This window comes from Homo sapiens, chromosome 19 (genome assembly GCF_000001405.40).
Source record: "Homo sapiens chromosome 19, GRCh38.p14 Primary Assembly".
Classification (NCBI taxonomy): domain Eukaryota; kingdom Metazoa; phylum Chordata; class Mammalia; order Primates; family Hominidae; genus Homo; species Homo sapiens.
In genome coordinates, this window is record NC_000019.10 from 10,139,867 (window position 1) to 10,162,236 (window position 22,370).

At 51.2% G+C, this 22,370-nt stretch overlaps 1 protein-coding gene across 4 annotated transcripts in view; it reads right to left on the bottom strand.

Moving 5' to 3' along the window:
- DNMT1 (DNA methyltransferase 1) overlaps positions 1 to 22,370 on the bottom strand; it is a 61,608-nt gene that overhangs the window by 6,521 nt on the left and 32,717 nt on the right. For all 4 annotated transcript variants that reach the window (NM_001318731.2, NM_001379.4, NM_001318730.2 and 1 more), the window contains 20 exons: positions 20,518 to 20,552; positions 20,152 to 20,197; positions 19,976 to 20,056; positions 19,792 to 19,901; positions 16,525 to 16,643; positions 15,987 to 16,079; positions 15,039 to 15,190; positions 14,720 to 14,907; positions 14,427 to 14,613; positions 11,884 to 11,981; positions 11,532 to 11,679; positions 9,987 to 10,102; positions 9,587 to 9,791; positions 9,018 to 9,151; positions 6,485 to 6,658; positions 3,900 to 4,121; positions 2,162 to 2,354; positions 1,239 to 1,323; positions 915 to 1,043; positions 180 to 462 (listed from right to left, as the gene is read on the bottom strand). In NM_001318731.2, coding sequence (NP_001305660.1) covers positions 180 to 462; positions 915 to 1,043; positions 1,239 to 1,323; positions 2,162 to 2,354; positions 3,900 to 4,121; positions 6,485 to 6,658; positions 9,018 to 9,151; positions 9,587 to 9,791; positions 9,987 to 10,102; positions 11,532 to 11,679; positions 11,884 to 11,981; positions 14,427 to 14,613; positions 14,720 to 14,907; positions 15,039 to 15,190; positions 15,987 to 16,079; positions 16,525 to 16,643; positions 19,792 to 19,901; positions 19,976 to 20,056; positions 20,152 to 20,197; positions 20,518 to 20,552 — 2,798 coding nt within the window. The remainder of the gene's footprint in view (positions 1 to 179; positions 463 to 914; positions 1,044 to 1,238; positions 1,324 to 2,161; positions 2,355 to 3,899; positions 4,122 to 6,484; positions 6,659 to 9,017; positions 9,152 to 9,586; positions 9,792 to 9,986; positions 10,103 to 11,531; positions 11,680 to 11,883; positions 11,982 to 14,426; positions 14,614 to 14,719; positions 14,908 to 15,038; positions 15,191 to 15,986; positions 16,080 to 16,524; positions 16,644 to 19,791; positions 19,902 to 19,975; positions 20,057 to 20,151; positions 20,198 to 20,517; positions 20,553 to 22,370) is intronic.

Below are 22,370 nucleotides of genomic sequence, written 5' to 3' on the forward strand. Positions count from 1 at the left end.
AGAAACGACCCACTGTGCCGGAAGCCCCTCACGAATGTTATCAAAGTCTCTCCCTGGTGAGAGCTGAGCTGTGAGCTTCCGGGGGGCAGAGGCCTCAGTGCAGGGCGAAAATGACCACTGCTGACATGCGGCACAGCCCCGGGCCGTCTGGCAACACTGGGGGGCTTCTACCCGTTTACCTGAGGAAGGAAACCACCAGAGAGTTTTTGAACTTGGAGTAGGTGCGCGAATTGAAGCGGTTCATGCCGCTGAAGCCCTGGCAGGGCGGCCCGCCGCACAGCATCTCCACGTCTCCCTTCTGGGGCAGCCGCTGGCCGCGGGAGTTGGTGGTCTCCCCAGCCATGACCAGCTTCAGCAGGATGTTGCAGTCCTCTGTGAACACTGTGGAGCCGGGGTTGTTCAGCCGGAACGCCTGGGCCGCAGGGTCCCACATCTCGATGGCCCACAGCGTGTCAGAGATGCCTGGCAGATCAAGCACGAAGCCATGCTTTCAACTCTCCAGAAGATTTTTTTTTTTTTTTGAGATGGAGTCTCGCTCTGTCACCCAGGCTGGAGTGCAGTGGTGTGATCTTGGCTCACTGCAAGCTCTGCCTCCCAGGTTCAAGCGATTCTCCCACCTCAGCCTCCTGAGTAGCTGGGACTACAGGCACACACCACCACGCCCAGCTAATTTTTGTATTCTTATTAGAGACGGGGTTTCACCATGTTGGCCAGGATGGTCTCAAACTCCTGACCTCATGATCCACCCACCTCGGCCTCCCAAAGTGCTGGGATTACAGGCGTGCGCCACCGTGCCTGGCCTCGGAAGGAGATTCTTGAGTCAGGAAGGTGACCGGGGTTGGAAGTCGTTTCAGGTAGCACCTGCCCGGTCTGGGCTCACCAGGTATTCAGAGATGGAGCCTACGGGCGCTCACCTGCTTGGTGGAATCCCTCCGACAACCCCCCGCAGCCAGAAAACACATCCAGGGTCCGCAGCTTGGGCAGCTTGATCTCTATCTCTGGCTCGCTCGGCTCACAGGCTTGGGACTTGGGCTTGCCCTTCCCTGGGGGAGAGAGGCCAGAGGCTAAACCCGATCCTCAGAGTCCAAGTCCACCTTGCTCTCAAGCGCCTTGTTAACTCAGGCGGCCTCGCTGTCCCAGAGTCAGTAACACCAGAGGTGGTTTTACACTGAGGGATTCACAGGCAGCCTCCAAGTTACAGAAGAATAACTTGAAAAGAAACTCATACAATGACGTACCTTTTCCCTTGCCCTTCCCTTTGTTTCCAGGGCTACGGGCATGGTTGGGAGGATCTTCAAAGCTTTTGCTCTTTGCATTATAGGCCTGAAAAGGAGAGAACTGCAATCGTTTGGGAGAGAAACGCACTGTCCCCTCTCTAACGCAGACTAGTAAGAAGGCAATTTGATAGTCACTTAATTTCTCCCTCAGTGGGGCCATGACCAATTAGCCACCAATAAGAGTAGTTTGACTTTGCTACAATAGAAACTTAAAACAATCCATTTTATTAATACTAACATTTGATCTGGCTGACACTGAAATGCCTATTACAAGCACTTGAGAGTACCTTCTAGAACAGGAAAAAGTGCTATGCAGAATCTGCTGTCCAATTGGGCTACCTCATCCATGCCTGGGAGAACGTGGATGTATCGTTTTAAGGTAACAACACGGAAAGGCCAAGCCCCAACAATTTACAAGTCATGAGCTTGATCAGCTGACTCGTGGGCCCTCTCCATAACGAGGGCCACCCGCACAGGCATGTGGGCTGGGCCTGGACGTAGGCGCCTGGCCCAAGGGACCCAGGAGCAGGGGCACCTTCTCCAACTCATACTAAGACACCAGTCAGGCTGGTGGAAGCTGCCTCATGGTCCTCAACGTTCAGTTGCACCAAGACACTAAAACGTTAGGTTCTCTAATGACGTACTTTTTAAAAACCAGGAGTGTTAAACTCCGGGACCACTTGAATCTCATACAACTTGTGCTCTGGAGAACCCTGCTCAGACCCCCGTAAAGCTCCTGCAGAACAGCTTCACGTCAGCCAACCACCCACTTCTTACAAAAGCTGAAACCCTGCAGCCAAGCCGCCTTGTGTATAACCCGACATCAGACTCCTTCTGGCCAACTTTGACCCCGAAGCCTTCCCTCTAGCAAGCAGGGGCACCACCTCGAGGAAGTAGAAGCGGTTGGGGCCGCCCATGGAGTACACCTGGACGCACTCGGGCAGGTCCTCCCCATACTCCACGGTGCAGCGGCCCTGCACAGCCTTGAAGTCCACCACGGCCTCCTCGTCGCTCCAGTAGAGCAGGTTGATGTCTGCGTGGTAGCTCGCTGGAGTGGACTTGTGGGTGTTCTCAGGCCTGCGAGCGGGAGAGGCCTCGTTAGGAGCTCTCCTTTGTGGTGAGCTTATGCTGAATTAAACAGTACCATGTTCCTGGGGTGCTCAGGGAACTGCAGGGTAAAGACCCCCTAGTTCGAGAACCGCAGGGTAAAGACCCCCTCAGTTAGGGAACTGCAGGGTAAAGATATCTCCTCCCCACACTGGGGAACTGCAAGGTAGACTCCCCCCCATTTAGGGAACTGCAGGGTAAAGACCCCCCCTAGTTAGGGAACCACAGGGTAAAGATCCCCCAAGTTAGGGAATCGCAGGGTAAAGACCCCTCCCAGTAAGGGAATCACAGGGTAAAGATATCCCCTCCTCACATTAGGGAACTGCAAGGTAGATTCCCCCACAATTAGGGAACCGCCAGGTAATGACCCCCGACCCAGTTGGGAACCGCAGGGTAAAGACCCCCCAGTTATGGAACCGCAGGGTAAAGACCTCCCCAGTTAGGGAGTCATAGGGTAAAGACCCCCCTACTTAGGGAACCGCAGGTAAAGATAACCCCTCCCCAAATGAGGGAACTGCAAGGTAGATTCGCCCCCAATTAGGGAACCACAGGGTAGAGACCCCCCAACCATTAGGTCAGCTTGGCTGCTTGCTCTGCACGCCTGGCCCTGCCCTGCTGTGTCCGCCTGCCGGTAGCAGCCTCTCGAGTGTGTTTCTCTCACCTGTACCACTCACAGCCCTTGTTTTATTTCCTGTTATTACAAAGGCTTCAGGAAATCTTTGATCTATGTTAGCTAAGAGGTGAGGCAAGTGTATAGCTTCCTGTACAGGCTAGTTTCAGGTTAATGCCTAATCACCGCAAGTTACTCGGGTCTTAGAAAAAGAAAACGTAATAGGCCAAAAGCTTAGGAAAGAGAAAAAATCCCAGAGACAGAAAGGAGGACCTGGGAAGAGGTGGGGACAGCGGGACAGAACCTGGACAGTCATAGATGGAGCTTGGGAGGTTCTCTGGGGGTGCCCAGGCACTCTACCCGTTTTTTCTTTTGAGACGGGGTCTGGCTGTCACCCAGGCCGGAGTGCAGTGGTGGGATCATGGCTCACTACAGCCTCAAATTCCTGGGTTTCAGTGATCCCTTCAGCCTCAGCCTCCCAAGTAGCTGGGATTACAGGCGTGTGCCACCACGCCCAGCTAGTCTTTTTTTTTTTTTTTTTTTGGTAGGGCCGGGGTCTCACTACGTTTCCTCAAGCTGGTCTTGAACTCCTAGACTCAAGTGATCTTCCTGCCTCAGCCTCCCAAAGTGCTAGGATTAGAGGCGTGAGCTACAGTGCCCAGCCAGCTTAAGGATTTCTTTTGGAAAAAGGGCTCTGCAACATTAAAATAAGGACCTAAAAGTGAGGGCTGGGAACTAGAATTCTAGTCATTATCAGTGCCCACCGATAATCAGAAACACTTGGAAAAACAGCTACTTCAACCTAACTCTTAGAACAACTGTGGGTGCTATGCCACAACCTTGTTTCAGGCAGAGCCTTCTAGAAGAGTCTGTGGCCTCGTGGAAGAACAGAGGCCTCTGCTGACCTGTAGAACTTGTTGACCCGGATTTTGATGTCAGTCTCATTGGGCCTGCCGTTGCTCTTCTTGGGACAGAAGATCTCTTTGATCCGGCCAATTCGGTAGGGCTCAGGGGCATCCAGGTTGCTGCCTTTGATGTAGTCGGAGTATTTCCGGTAGTGCTCTGGGTACAGGTCCTCATCCACGGGCTCCTTCCGTGGGCGTTTCACGGGACTGGACAGCTTGATGCTGCAGAGAAGCACCCACTTGACATCAATGAACCTTCCACCTTGCAGTGGTCAGTCAGGCATGACTGACCAGTGAAAATAACCATTTAAAGTCAAGCACCTGATGAATTAAGGTAGGTGTGTACCCTAAGAAATGATTTAGGCTGGGCATTGTGGCTCACGCCTGTAATCCCAGCACTTTGGGAGACCAAGGCAGGTGGACCACAAGGTCAGAAGTTCGAGACCACCCTGGCCAACACGGTAAAACCCTGTCTCTACTAAAAATACAAAAATTAGCCGGGTGTGGTGGTACATGCCTATAATTCCAGCTACTTGGGAGGCTGAGGCAGGAGAATTGCTTGAACCCAGGAGGCAGAGGTTGCAGTGAGCTGAGATTGTGCCACTGCACTCCAGCCTGTGTGACAGAGCAAGACTCCATCTCACAGAAAAAAAAAAAAAAGATTTAGCTGCAGATTTAGTCTCACAGTTTGAAGCACGCATTCACCCTCTGCGCATTACTGGCTACGGTGGTGGCTGACACTGCTCAAATACCCCAGGCTCCTGCCTCCCGACTACTTGGCATCTTGTGTTTCCTGGCATGTGACGTGGGCAGAAGTGACCAAAGAGGATGTCACTGCCTGGGGAATGTCCTGTGTGCTTTCCCTTGGGCTCAAACACTGGCAACTTCTGACTCCAGCGGCCCAGATATCCAAGGGACACAACAGGTGGAGTCCTCTGCTGACCTGTGATGGGCACCTCGTATGAGCGAGACAGCGGCTACCGTGGTTTTTGTTGAGAGAGTTTCACTCTGTCACCCAGGTTAGAGTGCAGTGGCACAATCTCGGCTCACTGCAACTCCTCCTCCCAGGTTCAAGCGATTCTCGTGCCTCGGCCTCCCAAGTAGCTGGGATTACAGGTGCCCACCACCACACCCAGCTAACCCTGGCTAATTTATTTTTAGTAGAGACAGGTATGTCGGCCAGGCTGGTCTTGGTCTTGAACTCCTGACAGGCATGAGCCACCGCACCCAGTCCAGCTTCTGTGGTTTTAAGTCACTGTGATTTGGGGTTGTTGCTATGATACAACCTACGCTACCCTGACTAAGGCTCTGATCTAGAAGCGACACTGGAGGCCAATGTAAGGCGCCACAGGGCCTGGGACAATGGGAGTGTGGTCTGACTAGTGTGGAAAAGCTGTTCTTTGAAGAAGGCCTGCCGTTAGGGAAGTCAGCTGTCACGTTCTCCCCACTAGGCCCCCCAGGAGTCTGACGGGCCCCAAAGGCGTCTCTGTGCTGACTCTCCCACTTTGCCAGGAGCAACTGGCAGAAAACACTACGGGGAGGTGTCCCCTTCCCACCAAGGACAACCAGAGGGGGTAACGCGCCCCAACTGTGCCAAGGCTGGAGGGAACCTGCTTCTCCAGTTCTCATAATTCACAGTAACTGAACTAAGGCAAGGGAGCTGGGGCTCTAAGGAAATGGAATTGTGAGCCGGGAAGGCATCTGGAAAACGTTGGCTGTAATTCCAACCACACGCTGATTCTTAGAAAAAACACAGAATGGATCAGTGTGGAAACGATCTGTGGCTTTAGGTTTTTCCTGGAAGAGCCTCGATCCTCTGACACAGAGAAGTCATCTGATGTGATTCCCTCTAACCAAGAAGTAACTCATGTCCGTTAAACCTTTACTTTAAGCCAGGTACTGTATGGAGCACTTTCAACTCACTCAACCCTTCGAGCCCCAGCAGGCAAGATCCCACTCTCCCACTTCACAGTAGGGGACGGAGAGGAGGTGTCCTTGGGCAGAGGCAGAACTTGGGGGTGGGCCCCCAGCTGTCCCTCGCGCTTTATCCAGTAAGTTCTTTTTTTTTCTTTTTTTATTTTGAGACGGAGTCACACTCTGTTGCCCAGGATGGAGTGCAGTGGCATGATCTTGGCTCACTGCAACCTCTGCCTCCCAGGTTCAAGTGATTCTCCTGTCTCTGCCTCTCGAGTAGCTGGGACTACAGGCGCGCACCACCACACCCGGCTAATTTTTGTATTTTTAGTAGAGACGAGGTTTCACCATGTTGGCCAGGCTGGTCTCAGACTCCTGACCTCAGATGATTCCCCACTGCCTCGGCCTCCCAAAGCGCTGGGATTACAGGCGTGAGAAACCACACCCAGCCAAACCAGCGAGTTGACTTTTACGCTCAGCTTTGCTCTGCAATAGCATCATGGTCAGTCTACACGATTTATGTTGTCTGTTTGCCACCTATGCCAACGTGACGGCTAGGACAACAGCTGGTGCGGAGGGATTGGCAATGTCTGTAAGGAGGGGGACACCACAAAGCCAGCCTGGCTCAGCCTGGAGCGCCCTGGCCCCGGCTGCTCCGAGGGGGCACTTACTTGAACGTGAAGGCCTCAGGGGGCAGGTACACACCATCACCAACTCGGTACAGGATGCCGTTCTTGGTGGCTGAGTAGTAGAGGACCCGGCTATCCAGGTCCTCGAGCTGCTCCAGGACCCTGGGGATTTCTTTTTGCCTCATCTCAGCCAGACGGGCACAGCTCACACAGAATCTGAAGGAAACAAAGGGACAGAAACATAAGGCCCTGAGGTGGCCGGCAGTGGCCGCAGCAGCTACTGCCAGCTTAATCCAGAGACTCTGGTAACCAAGAGGAAAAAACATTTGCAGATGCTAGAAGGAAGAGGTGGCTTTCTTGTGCTTTGTGTTGACATTTTGAAGGCACTTATTTGAGACCAAAGCCCAGAGAGAACATAGCAAGAAAATCAGGCAACTTTTGAGTCATTGAGACAAAAACCCTAAGATATCAATGAACAGGGTCTAGAATATGGTTAAGAACACACCACGAGCAACAGTCCCGAGTGGCTCAGTGAGGAACTCAATCCAGCAGAGACTCCTACTGTTCTCTCCATAAAGGCTCAACAGGTATTTGAGGAAATTCAACATTATTCTTGACTAGTAAGCCCTTAAAGGAGACTTGAAGATGGCCTTAAAAATAGAGATCAAGGCCCAGCATGGTGGCTCATGTCTGTAATCCCAGCCCTTTGGGAGGCCAAGGCAGGAGGGTCGCTTGAGCCCAGAAGTTTGAGACTAGCCTGGCCAACACAGTGAGACCCCGTCTCTACAAAAAATTTTTAAAACATTAACCAGGCAGGGTGGTGCATGCCTGCAGTCCCAGCTACTCAGGAGGCTGAGGCAGGAAGATCACTTGAGCCCAGCAGGTCGAGGCTACAGTGAGCTGTGACCACACCACTGCATTCCAGCCTGGGTGACAGAGGGAGACCCTGTCTCAGATAAATAAATAAATAAATAAATAAATAAATAAAAGAGGTTGGGTGATAAATAAATAAGTAAATGAGGTTGGGTGCAGTAGTTCATGCCTGTAATCCCAGCACTTTAGGAGCCTGAAGGGAGCAGATGACCCAAGGTCAGGAGTTCCAGACCAGCCTGGCCAACACGGTGAAGCCCTGTCTCTACTAAAAATACAAAAATTAGCCGGGCATGGTGGCAGGCGCCTGTAGTCCCAGCTACTTGGGAAGCTGAGGCAGGAGAATCACTTGAACCCAGGAGGTGGAGGTTGCAGTGAGCCGAGATCGTGCCACTGCACTCCAGCCTGGGTGACAAGAGTGAAACTCCATCACAAAAAAGTAAAAAATAAAATGAAAATAGAGATCAAGCCAAAGCTAGCACGAGACTTATGGGAGAAGCACAGATGCCCCCGGGGAGCCCTCTTGGCCTCCTGGGTTTCCCTGGTTGCCACCTGCTCCTCTGGGGGTGCTGGCTGCTGCTTTTAGTTGAAACAAGTGAGGTACGGAGGTTAAAAAGAAGGCATGGGGCATTGGACATTAAAAAATAAAAGCTCGCCGGGCGCGGTGGCTCACACCTGTAATCCCAGCACTTTGGGAAGCCGAAGCGGGTAGATCACCTGAGGTCGGGAGTTCGAGACCAGCCTGACCAACATGGAGAAACCCCATCTCTACTAAAAATACAAAAAAAGTAGCCGGGCATGGTGGCCCATGCTTGTAATCCCAGCTACTCAGGAGGCTGAGGCAGGAGAATCGCTTGAACCCAGGAAGTAGAGGTTGCGGTGGGCCAAGATTGAGCCACTGCACTCCAGCCTGGGCAACAAAAGCGAAACTCTGTCTCAAAAAAAAAAAAAAAAAAAAAATTAAAAAAATAATAATAAAATAAAATAAAAAATAAAAGCTTCCCTCAAAGCAGTCACCCAGTTACAAAAGAATCGAGGACAGGTGTGGTGGCTCACGCCTGTAATCCCAGCACTTTGGGAGGCCAAGGCGGGCAGATCACAAGGTCAGGAGATCGAGACCATCCTGGCTAACACAGTGAAACCTCGTCTCTACTAAAAATACAAAAAACTAGCCGGGTGTGGTGGCAGGCGCCTGTAGTCCCAGCAACTCAGGAGGCTGAGGCAGGAGAATGGCATGAACCCAGGAAGCTGAGTTTGCAGTAAGCCAAGATCGCACCACTGCACTCCAGCCTGGGCAACAGAGCGAGACTCCGTCTCAAAAAAAAAAAAAGAAAAAAAAAAAGGAAAGAAAAGAATCAAATAAGAGGTCTCATTTACAGGAGAAAATATCTAAGAAACAGCCAAAAACATGCAAGAGCTGGGCACACACTGAAGAACACACGGGAAGTCTTGAAATGGCAAGACGAACCCTGTTCCTGGGTAGGGAACCCTCTTACAAAGACAACGCCAGGTCATCCACACACTTAAAGCAACTCCAGGCCATCTACACACTTGAGCATCATTCATAGTCAGGCTGGCCTTTGACGAGCAAGAGACACAAACTGGGGGGCCGTTGGCGGAAGCCAACCAGACGGAAGCACACGGGAAAAGGGAGTGATGTGGGCTGAAAGTGCCTGCTGACCCCGAGTCCAGCCCCAGTGCTCACTTGAACTTGTTGTCCTCTGTTGGCTGGGTTTTTGGAGGGGACTCGAATCTCGCGTAGTCTTGATCATACCACAGCTGGTAGAAGTAGGTCTTCCCGTCGTCCCCCTCCAGCAGGGACTCGGGATCCATGCCTCCCTTGGGAGATAAGAATGCGTGTCAGGCCAGGCGCAGTGGCTCATGCCTGTATTCCCAGCACTATGGGAGGCCGAGGCGGGTGGATCACCTAAGGTCAGGAGTTCGAGACCAGCCTGGCCAACATGGTGAAACCCCGTCTCTACTAAAAATACAAAAAATTAGCTGGACGTGATGGTGGGTGCCTGTAATCCCAACTACTCGGGAGGCTGAGGCAGGAGAATCACTTGAACCCAGGAGGTGGAGGTTGCAGTGAGCTGAGATCATGCCATTGCACTCCAGCCTGGGCAACAAGAGCGAAACTCAGTCTCAAAACAAAAAAAAAAACAAAAAAAAAACCAAATTAAAAAAAAATACAAATCAAAACAAAACAGAACGCACGTCAGCAGTGACCCTCCACGATAAGGCAGGGGCTCACGAGGGACACCAGGCACTCACCTCCATGGCCCAGTTTTCGGAGGGGGCTTTGTAGATGACTTTCACTTTGCTGTGGATATATGAAAGCTGCATGTCCTCACATTCATCCACCAAGAACAGCTCCAGAGGGTCCGACGTGGCCCCGAGGACTGTGTCTGTCCCAGCGCAGAACCAGTGGGCGTGAAACATCTGCCCGTTGCTGCTGTCCTCCCACAGCGCCGTGACCCTGGAATCAGAAGACGGGCATGGGGAGAAAGTTCTGACTTGGCCAGCAGATATGTGACCAAGTCTATGCAGGAGCACTCGTCCTTTTCAGTTTTCATCTAGGGCAAAAAGCTGCTGGTGCTATTTTGGCAAAACAGGCATCTCCTACTTGATGAGAAAGTGCATGCAGAAGTCAAGCAAAAAGAAAGATGCAAACCTTGCTAGATACAGCGGTTTTGAGGAATCATCTGGAATAACAGAGACACAGTCCCCCACTTCCAGGGTTTCCGCATCAATGCACACCTTCTTATAGTAACTCTTCTTCCCATCAGTCTGAAAATGAGAGCATAAGTTCATGGAGGATCATTCTGAGGGTCTTTGCTGGCCTTGACTTGCATGGTCCTCTGTTACTTAAAGTAAGACATGACTCGATTTCATTAAGAAGTCAATGAAGAGTTGCTGCTAAAGAGAACATCCTGTTCTACAAGGGCTTCAATAATAAGAAAAAAGAAGAACATCCACCTTCCTTGGCCAGATGCTGTGGCCAAGGGCATCCATGTCCCTCCCACTTCTGCTCTGCCACTCGGGTCCCAGGATTTGATTTTAACAGCACAGCCCACAATACCTCACCATGGTCTGTAAGGCCACAGCCTGAACCCTGACCCCTGTCCTGCCCATCATCCCCTGGCTCAAGCCACTCCAGCTGCAGGGGCCTCCTTCCTTTTCTCCAACAAAGTAAGCTGACTGCCACCTCAGTGCAGCTCTCCCCCAGGTCGTGTGGCTAGGTCCTACCTGACCTTCTCCATCTCAGCCCAGGTGTCACCTCTGCAAGGCCTCGTGGCCCCAGCCTCCTCCCAGCCCCCTACCCTGCAGAGGCACTCATGCCATGCAGCAGTACCCATGTCTGTCCTCCTGCAGGGGCTCAGCCACGGCCCAGGCAGCCAGCAGGTGGCAAGCCTCATAATTAAGTGAACTGATTGCATCTTTAATTTATGGACGTCAGAGAAGCAACACAGAGGATACTCACTCCTCTCTCTCACACTGTGGTAAAGGAACTGACCTTCAGTGAAGCCAATGACCACAGAACGGATGGGAGGCCATCTGTTGGTGCCCCAAAAAGACCCACCCCACACCAGAGGGGGCTGTGACAGCTCTCTTGGAAACAAGCTATGAGGGGCCAGGCACAGTGGCTCCTGCCTGTAATCCCAGCACTTTGGGAGGCTGAGGTGGGTGGATCACTTGAGGCCGGAGTTCGAGAATGGCCTGGGCAACATGATGAAACCCCGTCTCTACTAAAAATACAAAAAAAGTTAGCCTGGCATGGTGGTGCACGCCTGTAATCTCAGCTATTCAGGAGGGTGGGGCAGGAGAATCGCTTGAACCTGGGAGGCAGAGGTTGCAGCGAGCTGAGATCGTGCCACTGCACTCCAGCCTGGGTGACAGAGCAAGATTCCATCTTAAACAAAACAAAACAGAAAAACAAGCTATGAGGGCTCACCTGCCTGATGCCCCTAGAACTGTGTCAAATGCCCATTTTGGGACATTAGGAGAACTGAGCCTTGTGGCCACACAAAAATGCCTTGCTGGTACTGAGCCATGGAACATGGTCTCTTGGCCAGTCCCGCTCTTCTCAGGGGCAAACAGACAGGTTTCTTAGTGCCGGGGCTCAGGCTGCCTGAGAGGTCAGGTTGGCGAGATACTAGAGGGCAACCTGCTTATTGGGAACATGGCAGTGAGCTGACCAAGGGGCTCCAAGGGTTACCTTGACGGCTTCTCCGACCCAAGAGATGCGATTCTTGTTCTGTTTCTTCTTCTTCCCCTGGTGCATTTTTTTGGGTGACGGCATCTCTGGGATGTTATCATCGACTTCCTCATCGTCATCTGCCTCCTTCATGGCCATATTGGGACACCTGCAATGTCACTGGTTATACCTAAGGCCCCTTTTCTAAGTAAGACCAACCGGGGCTGTTTTCTTCATAACAGGGACAGGTCCTGAGACAATGCCTAACGAAGGAATCCTGGTGCTGTCCCACACATGCAGGCCCTTCTCCACAGTGCATCTGCCACCAGCTGGCAAGTCCTCTGCCACAGGAGGAAGACTCGGCCTGACCTACCTCCGCTCTTGGCAAGCCTGCTTGCTCCGTCCACTGCCACCAAATTTAACCATGTCCTTGCAGGCTTTACATTTCCCACACTCAGGCTGCTGACACACCTAAAAAATGGCATTAAAAAGGCAAATCAGGGCTGGGCACAGTGGTTCATGCCTGTAATCCCAGTATTTCAGAAGGCCGAGGCAGGCAGATCACTTAAGGTCAGGAATTGCAGACCAGCCTGGCCAACGTGGTGAAACCCCATCTCTACTAAAAATACAAAGATTAGCCAGGCATGGTAGGGTGTGCCTGTAATCCCAGCTACTTGGGAGGCTGAGGCAGGAGAATTGCCTGAACCTGGGAGGTGGAGATTACAGTTAGCCAAGATCACACCACCATATTCCAGCCTGGACGACAAGAGTAAAACTCCATCTCAAAAAAAAAAAAAAAAAAAAAAAAAAAAAGGAAAAAAAAAGGGCAAATCACACAGCCCTTACTAACAATGAGACAAATGATGCATTAAGACTTTTAGGTCTCAAAAAATTAAAAAAAAAAAAAAAAAGTGAGTCACACAGCCCTTAGCAACAATGAAACAAACGGTGAATTAAGACTTTTAGGCTGGGCATGGTGGCTCATACCTGAACCAGTACATTGGGAGGCTGAAGCAGAGGTAGATGGATCACTTGAGTCCAAGAGTTCAAGACCAGCCTGGGCAACATATTAAGACCCCCAACTCTACAAAAAATTAAAATTAGCCAGGCGTGTGACAAATTCCTGCAGTCCCGGCAACTCAGGATGCTAAGGCGGGAGGACTGCTTGAGTTCAGGCATTCAAGACCAGCCTAGGCAACATGGCAAAATCCCATCTACAAAATGTTTTTTTTTAATTAGCTGGGCATGGTGGCGTGCACCTGTGGTCCCAGCTACTTGGGAGGCTAAGGTGGGAAGATCACTTGAGCCCAGTAGGTTGAGAATGCAGTGAGCTACAATCATGCCACTGCATTCCAGACTGGGTGACAGAACGAGACCCATCTCAACAACAACAACAACAACAACAACAACAAAACCAAGACTTTTAAAAATGTGCCTATTTGGCTGGGTGCAGTGCCTCATGCCTCTAATCCCGGCAGTTTGGGAGGCCAAGACAGGAGGACCACTTGAAGCCAGGAGTTTGAGACCAGGCAAGGCAACACAGCAGGACCCTGTCTCTACAAAAAAAAAAAAAAAAAGCAATATTCAACCTCATTAGAAATATGGTAAGTGAGAGAAATAAAATTCCCTTCCCATTCTCCAGATGGGTTAAGAAGCCAGATAGGTGGTGTGAGGAAAGAAGAACGCACACTGCTCAAATGGTAAGTTGGTAGAACCATTTTGGAGAGCAATCTTCTAGATCAAAGTTAAGAATACACACCCACAACCCAGCAACGCTACTTCTAAGCAGATACACTCGCGAGAAGCTTTGCTCAAGGATGCTGCCACATATTTACAATACTGAAGAGGTGCCTATCATTGAGGAGTAAGTTAGGATATTCATTTAACAAAATACTACAGAATATTTAAAATGAAATAACTAGATCTACCAGTATCAACACGTAACAGTTACACAAATAAAAACAAATGATTTTAGGGCTGGGCACAGTGGCTCACACCTGTAATCCCAGCACTTTGGGAGGCCGAGGTAGGTAGATCACTTAAGGTCAGGAGTTTAAGACCAGCCTGGCCAACATGGTGAAACCCCATCTCTACTAAAAATACAAAAAAAATTAGCCGGGTATGGTGGCGGGTGCCTATAATCCCAGCCACTCGGGAGGCTGAGGTGGGAGAACTGATTGAACCCGGGAGGCGGAGGTTACGGTGAGCTGAGATGGTGCCACTGCACTCTAGCCTGGGTGACAGAGAGAGACTGTCTCAAAAAAATTAAAAAAAAAAAAAAAAGATTTTAGAAGTTATAAAACATTGGACACACGTGTGTTAACCAAGAAAAATAAAATAAAACCAAAATAACAATGGTGAGGACATGCAGGCTCCTGTTAAGAGATGCCAGCGGGGATCAAAAGCAAAGCCCTGAAGCCAGTCTTTATCCAAAAGAAAGTCAGGTAATAGGTATCAAAATAGTCCTGGTCTTTGGGTCATAGGACTAGGAAGTTAGTTCCTCCTGAGTGAAGTAAACATATATTTTAAAAACTCACAGAAAGGGACGCCTCCTGAGGGCCTCAAATCTAAGCTGGACAAAGTGCCCACTTAGATGTGAATACCCCTTTAGCAGTCCAACAGGGGCCTTCAGACTGTGAGATGCAGGCACAGCAGAGCCACCCAGAAGCCAGGCTCTTCAATTAAGGACAGTGGCATTATCAGCAAAGCACCCAAGCATGCCTCTGTGGACATCTGTCCTATTGACGTTCAATGAAGTATGCAGGGTCCTCCCAGACCACTAACTAATTTCTGTCTCAGGGGTCACATTTGAGCAGCCAGAGTCTCAAGCCACAGAGAGAAAGATGGAGCAGTCCTCAGATCAGGCCAGAGGCTGGGCCACCTTAGGGGAGCGGGAGCACCCACAGGTGAGGTTACCTCACAGACGCCACATCGCCGGCGCTTAAAGGCGTTCTCCTTGTCTTCTCTGTCATCCTTTTCAATTTGCTCTGCGAAGAAAGTATCGAAGATCTGGTAGACCAGCTTGGTGGTGGTGGCTTTCGTGGGTCCCCTGTCCTTCTCCCTGGTAGAATGCCTGATGGTCTGCCGCCTCGCCTGGGCTCGCCTACGGGAGAGGTTCCAGCATCTCAGAGGACTGGGACAGAGGATGTGGGCCATGCTCTACCCTCCCCGGTCTCCAGTCTTCACTCTGGTCCCTGCCGCATCCTTACCTCTGTCCCAGCGTGACCCCAGCCAGCTTGATCAGGTCCCGCATGCAGGGTGTCAGGAAGATGGGCTGCTCATCACTGTCCCCGGCCTCGTCATAACTCTCCACCTGCTCCACCACAAACTGCGCGTGTCGCAGGAGGGAGTCCTCTGTGAAGCGGTTCAAGTTGAGGCCAGAAGGAGGAACCGTGGTCTTGAAAGAGAACAGGTTTCTCTCATGCTTAAGCCAAACTGGCCTAAATCCAACTGAAGAACAGTGTCTGCTGGTTCTGAAGGCAAGTTTCCAGTGGGAATCCCGGATGCTGAGGACCCTCGATCTCTTACCTCGATCTTGTTGATCAGGTCCTCATAGGTCGAGTCGGAATTGCTCTGCAGGAACTCCACCACAATCTTGCTGATGTAGATCTTCTCCTGCATCAGCCCAAATATGGGCGCATACTCGGGACTGGGATCCATCAGAATGTATTCGGCAAATGCTGGGGTGAACAGAGGAGGTGTGGAAAAGGGGCTGGAATCTGATGGCGCCTACAGTGGCCACAGGGCATGGAGGAGTCTACCAAACTCACCCAACAGTCTAAAAGTCATCCCGTACCCAAATGTCAGAAACATAGGGCACAACACATCATAGCTGGCTTGTTCTGAAGAAGCCTGTCTGAGCCAGCCAGAGAGCGAAGACTAGCTGAGTAGGCCTTCATTGAGCTCATCTCTGGTGTTTGGAATTCAGTCTGGGTTTGGGTTGCAAGAATAAGACCTGCTCTTTTTTTTTTTTCAGGGGAGGACAGAGTCTTGCTCCGTCACCCAGGCTGGAGGGCAGTGGCGTGATCTCGGCTCACTGCAACCTCTGTCTGCTGGGTTCACGTGATTCTCCTGCCATAGCCTCCCAAGTAGCTGGGATTACAGGTATGCACCACCATGCGTGGCTAATTTTTGTATTTTTGGTAGAGAGGGGGTTTCACCATGTTGGCCAGGCTAGGCTGGTCTCGAATTCCTGGCCTCAAATGATCCCCCCAACTCGGCCTCCCAAAGTGCTGGGATTACAGGTGTGAGCCACCATATCCGGCCAAGACCTGCTCTTACAACTGGAGAGTCAGTTCCAGAGCCAGTCATAACTAACACAAGAGGCTACCCCAACTGAACCTGCTAAGGTTCCCAGTCACATGGCCTTCTGCAAGCCTGCTGAGAATTCCCACCAGAGCCCCGTCAGCCCCCAGGAAGGAGAACATGAAGGCCCCTTTCAGACCCCGGCCAGCCTATGATGGGCCACACACTTACAGGTGCTGAAGCCGATGAGGGCCTTTTCACCTCCATCAAAGCCAGTGATCCACCATTCATTTATGGGGCCAAGATTTTTGCCATTAACACCACCTAGAGCAGAAAAAGGAAATGGACTAAAGGCTCTGACTCACATCCCAAACCCAGGAGGCGCTCTAAGCGCCCACTCAGCAGACATCCCATCAGCCAGGTCGGGTGCTCCTCAGTCATCACAATGACTTGGCCTACAGCTGCTCCTGGCACAAAGTCTCACACCCTAACTTTAAGAGGCAGCAGCAACTCCAGCTGACTATTGCTTCATAAGTATGTTTTTTATTTATACATATATATAAGTATATATGTATACTATATATATATGCTATATATTTTTTTTTAATAGAGGCAGGCTCTTGCTATGTTGTCCAGGCTCGTCTCAAACTCCCGGGCTCAAGTGATCCTCTGGCCTCAGACCCCCAAAGTGCTAGGATTACAGATGTGAGCCACCCTGCCTGGCTGTTTTTAAAGTGTGCCCCAAACATAATCCCGGACTATTCCTTACCTTCAAGAGATGGGTCATCATCATAGATTGGTTTTGCTGAACCAGAAAAGAAGAGTTCGATATTCTTCTCGATGAGGCCGGTGTCGATGGGACACAGGTGACCGTGCTTACAGTACACACTAGACAGGAAACAAAGCACATGCTTACCAGCTAAGCCGTGAAGGCGGGTCTTCGTGCAGACTTCAGATCAGGCACGAGGCAATGAGAGAATGTACAAGTCTGACACTCTTTTTTTGTTTGTTTTTGAGACAGAGTCTTGCTCTATCCCTCAGGCTGGAGCGCGATGGCATAATCTTGGCTCACTGCAGCCTCCACCTCCCGGGTTCAAGTAATTCTCCTGCCTCAGCCTCCCGAGTAGCTGGGATTACAGGCCTGAACCACCATGCCCGGCTAATTGTTGTATTTTTAGTAGGGACGGGGTTTCACTATGTGTAGCAGGCTGGTCTCAAACTCTTTATCTCCAGTGATCTACCCACCTCAGCCTCCCAAAGTGCTGGGATTACAGGCTGAACCACCATGCCTGGCCCCGACACTCATTTTTTGGTTGCGGGAACACTGGATTAAGACAGCGTTCTATCACCCAGAGTTTCTACCTTATTCTCCCACCTAAGCATCAAGTGTATGTGTGTCTGCAACAGCAACACCAAAAGATCAGTCAGACTTACAGTGCGGGAAATACCGGTTTCTAGAACACCTTCTACTATGCAGTGCAGCCACTAGCTCTATTCAGCTGCAGAACATTTCTGTCACTCAAATGTTAATAAAGCCTCATTCCCATCAAGTAGCAGTCACTCTCCAGTCTCCTCCCAACCGGCCCTCAGCCCCCAGCCCCCGGCAACCACCAATCTGCTTTCTATACCTATGAATTCACCTATTCAAGATACCTCATATGGTTAATTTTATATTATACGAGTTAGACCTCAATTTAGAAAATAAAGCAGGTTATAGAACAGTGTGAAAAGGGATGTGGGAAGGAAGGACTTCTGCCTCCTTTTGGGCATAAATCTCAAACACCTGCGGCCCCACTGTCCAGATGCCCCTTGACATTCGGGAGCACGTTCTTTAGTGAAGACAGAGAGGCAAGATGTCAAACTCAAGGAAAAAGACATGAACTGGGTGTTCTGCTTACAAACCTGCTCATCTAGACAAGGACCACCCTTTCCCGGCCAAAGATGCTGGGCTATCCTCAGAGCCCCCATATGAAGTCTGCACAGGTCTCTGGAGAGCACCCTCCACCACACTCACCCAGCTTAGTGCCTTGGAAGCCAGAAAGGCTCAAACAAAACACTGCATACCTCCTGCGGAGCTCCCCTACTGCGTACCAGGCATGGCAGACAGAATAGGTTGCAGCCCTGCCTCAGGATGTAAGGCCCAGAAGAAGAGACAGAGAGATGAAGCCAGCGTGGATCAAGGGAGGGCCTACAGAAGAGGGGGTCCCGCTCCCCGCTGCACAGGTGGGCTGGAGGCTCTCTCCATAGGGGAGACATGGGAGAGAAGCTCTAAGCCCCAGGCAGGGGCAGGACCCACTGGTTGGTAGGCCAGACCCCACCCATGACTGGCTTCTATCGCCAGTTTCAAGCCAAGTACAGCAGTATGGAGAGCCCCTAAATAACTCAGGCAGTCCAGCTCCAGTGGACAGAAGGCATGTGACTTCTGGAAAGTGTCCTCCAGGCCACCATCCACCCTCCAGGAACGAATCTATGATAGATCTCAACTTAGGGAGGAAGCTGAGACACTCAGGACTCTGGCAGCCCCAGCCCCAGGCTCCCCCAAGCCTTTGTCCCTGGTGAAGGCCAGAGTGAGGCCCTCGGGCATGGTTGCCAGCTCTGCCCACCACAGCACACCTCACTCACACCAGCAGGCAGAGGTGTGTGGCCCTGCTTTGGGCCAGGCCTCGGGGGGCTAGCGGTTGCTGGTGGACGCAACAGCATCTTGATCTAGATAGAAGGATCCCATAGAAGGAGAGGGAGGGGAACAACCATCAGCCAAGCACGGGGAACGTGTGGGTGCCCTCCCAGTGGGTACAGGAACCGCTGCCTGGGGGTGCTTCCAACAGGGGTCCCCAAGGCACTTCCCCCTCCTCTTCACAGAGAGGGAAAATACCACCCAGGCCTAAAAGGAGGCAGGGCCGTTCCTGGAGCTGAGGCATTTCCCACGAAGAACAAGGTGAAGCCCTGGAGGGTAACTGCACCCGCAGGGAGAGGGAGCAAAATGGGGCTGGGGATGCCTGAGAGCACAGGGCCTCTGCCCACTCAAGAGCTGACGTGAGCCTCGGTGAAGGTACGGGCCGGACGCCAGGCACCTTCCCTCAGAGGACAGGAGAGTCAGTGCTGAGGCCTGCAAGGCCCTGTGTGGCCCAGCCCCAACCCAGCAACCACCACACCAGACTCACCATTCACCTTCCACAGCTGGCACAGGCCCCTCCGAGCCCTGGTAATGGTGTCCCCTTCTACCTAGGGTGCCCCACCCCGGCCATCCCCTCGGCCTCTTCTCTCACAGGCCATCAAGGTCTTTACTGAAAATCATTACCTCTCCCGTCTTCACAGAACTTCCTCCTCCCACTTATTCTCTCTGCATGTCACCAGGCTTTTAAAATCTGTCGTGGCTGTCACTACCCGACAGGTATCACCCATTTCTGGCTCCGTGAAGGCAGGACCTGAGCAGCTACATCCACGACACCTAGATCACTGGTACCTAGCACAGAGTAGGCCTTCATCTGAGCGTGTGACCCTCAGGATGTGGGCAGAATGGAGGGGTAATATGTGTAGTGTAAAAACCCAAAAACCAAACCAAAAATCAGCAAAGCTCTATTGTCCCTTCATCAGCTTTCCACGTGGCTCTTTGAGACGGAGTCTTGCTCTGTCGCCCAGGCTGGAATGCAGTGGCACCACCTCGGCTCACTGCAGCCTCCGCCTCCAGAGTTCAAGAAATTCTCCTGCCTAAGCCTCTCGAGTAGTTGGGATTACAGTCGCGTACCACCACACCTGGCTACTTTTTGTATTTTCGGTAGGTTTCGCCATGTTGGCCAGGCTGGTCTCGAACTCCTGACCTGAAGTGATCTGCTCACCTCGGCCTCCCAAAGTGCTAGGATTACAGGCATGAGCCACCGCGCCCAGCCCTCCACGGTGGCTCTTATCCACGAAGTGTTAGCTTAAGACATGTTGCAGGTCAGGCACTAAAAAACATCACCAGAATCGTGAGCCCGCAGGCACCTCTGGGGATGTGCCTCCTTCCACGAAGCAAACATGCACACGAAAGTGCACTTACCTGAAGCAGGTCAGTTTGTGCTGGGGAAGCGCCTCATAACTCTCAAAGCCAGACTCGTTGGCATCAAAGATGGACAGCTTCTCATTTGTCAGCATCTGTGGCTCATCCACCTGAAGGACACGGGGCTGGTGAGCAGTGGGACAAGGGACAGGCAGAGGAAGGCTGGGAAGAGAGCTGTACGTACCGCGTCTGGTGGGTGCTGCCCATATTTGAGGTCAGGGTCGTCCAGGTACTGCCCGCACTGAATGCACTTGGGAGGGTGGGTCTGTGGGAGCAGGAACACAGATGATGGCACTCAGAGAGCAGCTCCCAGCCGCCTCGTGAGCGCCGCCACCGGCTTTATTCCCGGCAGATGTTTACCTTGGAGTTCATGACTGTTTTGGCGCGAGCCATTTTTTTCTCCGTTCTGGGGGAAAAAAAAAAATCACAAGATCGTTTGTTTAATTGTTTCAGAAAATATCAAAATCGCCCCTGTGAGGTTTCTGCCTGAGGTGCCTGTGGCACAGGGAGGCACCGGCTGTGGCAGTGAGGCCCAGGCGCGTGGTCACAGTGGCTCTTCACCGCAGGGGCATCCTGCCTGACGCACCTTGGTCCTATGTTCACCAACCCGATCCAAAATGAGCCTAAGGTTGCTCTGGCAATTACTGAAACCCCTTCCCTTTTGTTCTAGAACCATCATTTTAACATTACCATCTGCTTTCGATAATGTCAAGAATAAATTCTTACGGTTCTTTGGGGGTCGTTTTGCGTCTCTTCTCCTCCTACACAGGGAAAACAAAAGAGGATTAAAGGCTAAGAGAGTGTTTTACACCCAGATAGTGCTTCGGTGTTAAGAACTTTGTATAAGTGATTATCATAAAACAGAGAGAAGGGGAGGGAGGCAGTGAGAGGGCCAGCAGGTGAGCTCTGACTCACTCTACCATCTAAAGTCATAGAATACAAAATCTTATAGTCAGGCCCAGCACAGTGGCTCATGCCTGTAATCCCAGCACTTTGGGAGGCCAAGGCACACAGATGACTGGAGGTCAGGAGTTCCAGACCAGCCTGGCCAACATGGCGAAATCACGTCTCTACCAAAAATACAAAGATTAGCCAGGCGGGCACTTGTAATCTCAGATACTCAGAAGGCTGAGGCAGAAGAATTGCTTGAACCCGAGACGTAGAGGTTGCAGTAAGCAGAGATCATGCCACTGCATTCCAGCCTGGGCGACAGAGTGAGTGAGACTCCATCTCAAAATAAATGAATAAATAAATCTCATAACCAAAGACTTCCTGAAAAGATTTAGAGGAAAAGCCAATTTTTTAAAACCTTAGCTTTCCTGTGTAAGTGGACACCTCAAGGTAAACAAATAATTGGCCAGGCACAGGGCCGGGCGCGATGGCTCACGCCTGTAATCCCAGCACTTTGGGAGACCGAGGCGGATGGATCACGAGATCAAGAGATTGAGACCATCCTCGCCAAGATGGTGAAACCCTGTCTCTACTAAAAATACAAAAATTAGTTGGGCGCGGTGGCGCATGCCTGTAGTCCCAGCTACTCAGGAGGCTGAGGCAGGAGAATAGCTTGAACCAGGGAGACAGAGGTTGCAGTGAGCCGATGTCGCACCACTGTACTCCAGCCTGGCGGCAGAGCGAGACTCTGTCTCAAAAAACAAATACATAAGTAAATAAATAAATAAATAAATAAATAAATAAATAAATAAATAACTGGCCAGGCACAGTGGCCCATGCCTGTAATTCCAGCACTTGAAGAAGCCCAGGTGGGAGGACTGCTTGAGCACAGGAGCTCAAGACCAGCCTGGGCAACACAGTAAAACCCTGTCTCTACAAAAATAGAAAGTTAACTGGGTGTAGTGCCATCTGCCTGTAGTCCCAGCTACCTTGAAGGCCCAGGTGGGAGGATTGCTTCAGCCCAGGAGTTTGCGGCTATGGTAGCTATGACTGTACCACTGCACTCCAGCCTCGACAAGAGTGAGACCCTGTCTCAAAAATAAATACTAAAATGTAAAGGTAAGCAAACAATTGATGAGGGGGTATACAGACCGAGTCATGTCCCCTGCAAAATTCATATGTTAAGACTAACCTGCTATGTGACTGTATTTGGATGTAGAGTCTTTAAGAGACAATTATGGTTAAATGAGGTAATAAAGGTGGGGCCCCATCCAATAAGACCAATGTCCTTGTATTTTTTGTTGTTGGTTTTGAGACAGAGTCTTGCTGTGTCCCCAGCCTGGAGTGCAATGGTGTGATCTCGGCTCACTGCAACCTCTACCTCCTGGGTTCAAGTGACTCTCCTGCCTCAGCTTCCCAAGCAGCTGGGATTACAGGCCCCTATCACCACAACTGGCTAATTTTTGTATTTTTAGTAGAGACAGGGTTTCACCATGTTGTCCAGGCTGGTTTCAAACTCCTGACCTCAGGTGATGCGCCTGCCTTGGCCTCCCAAAGTGCTGAAAAGACAGGCGTGAGCCGCTGTGCCCAGCATTTTTTTTTTTTTTTGAGACAGAGTCTTGCTCTGTTGTCCAGGCAGGAGTACAGTGGCACGATCTCAGCTCACAGCAATCTCCGCCTCCTGGGTT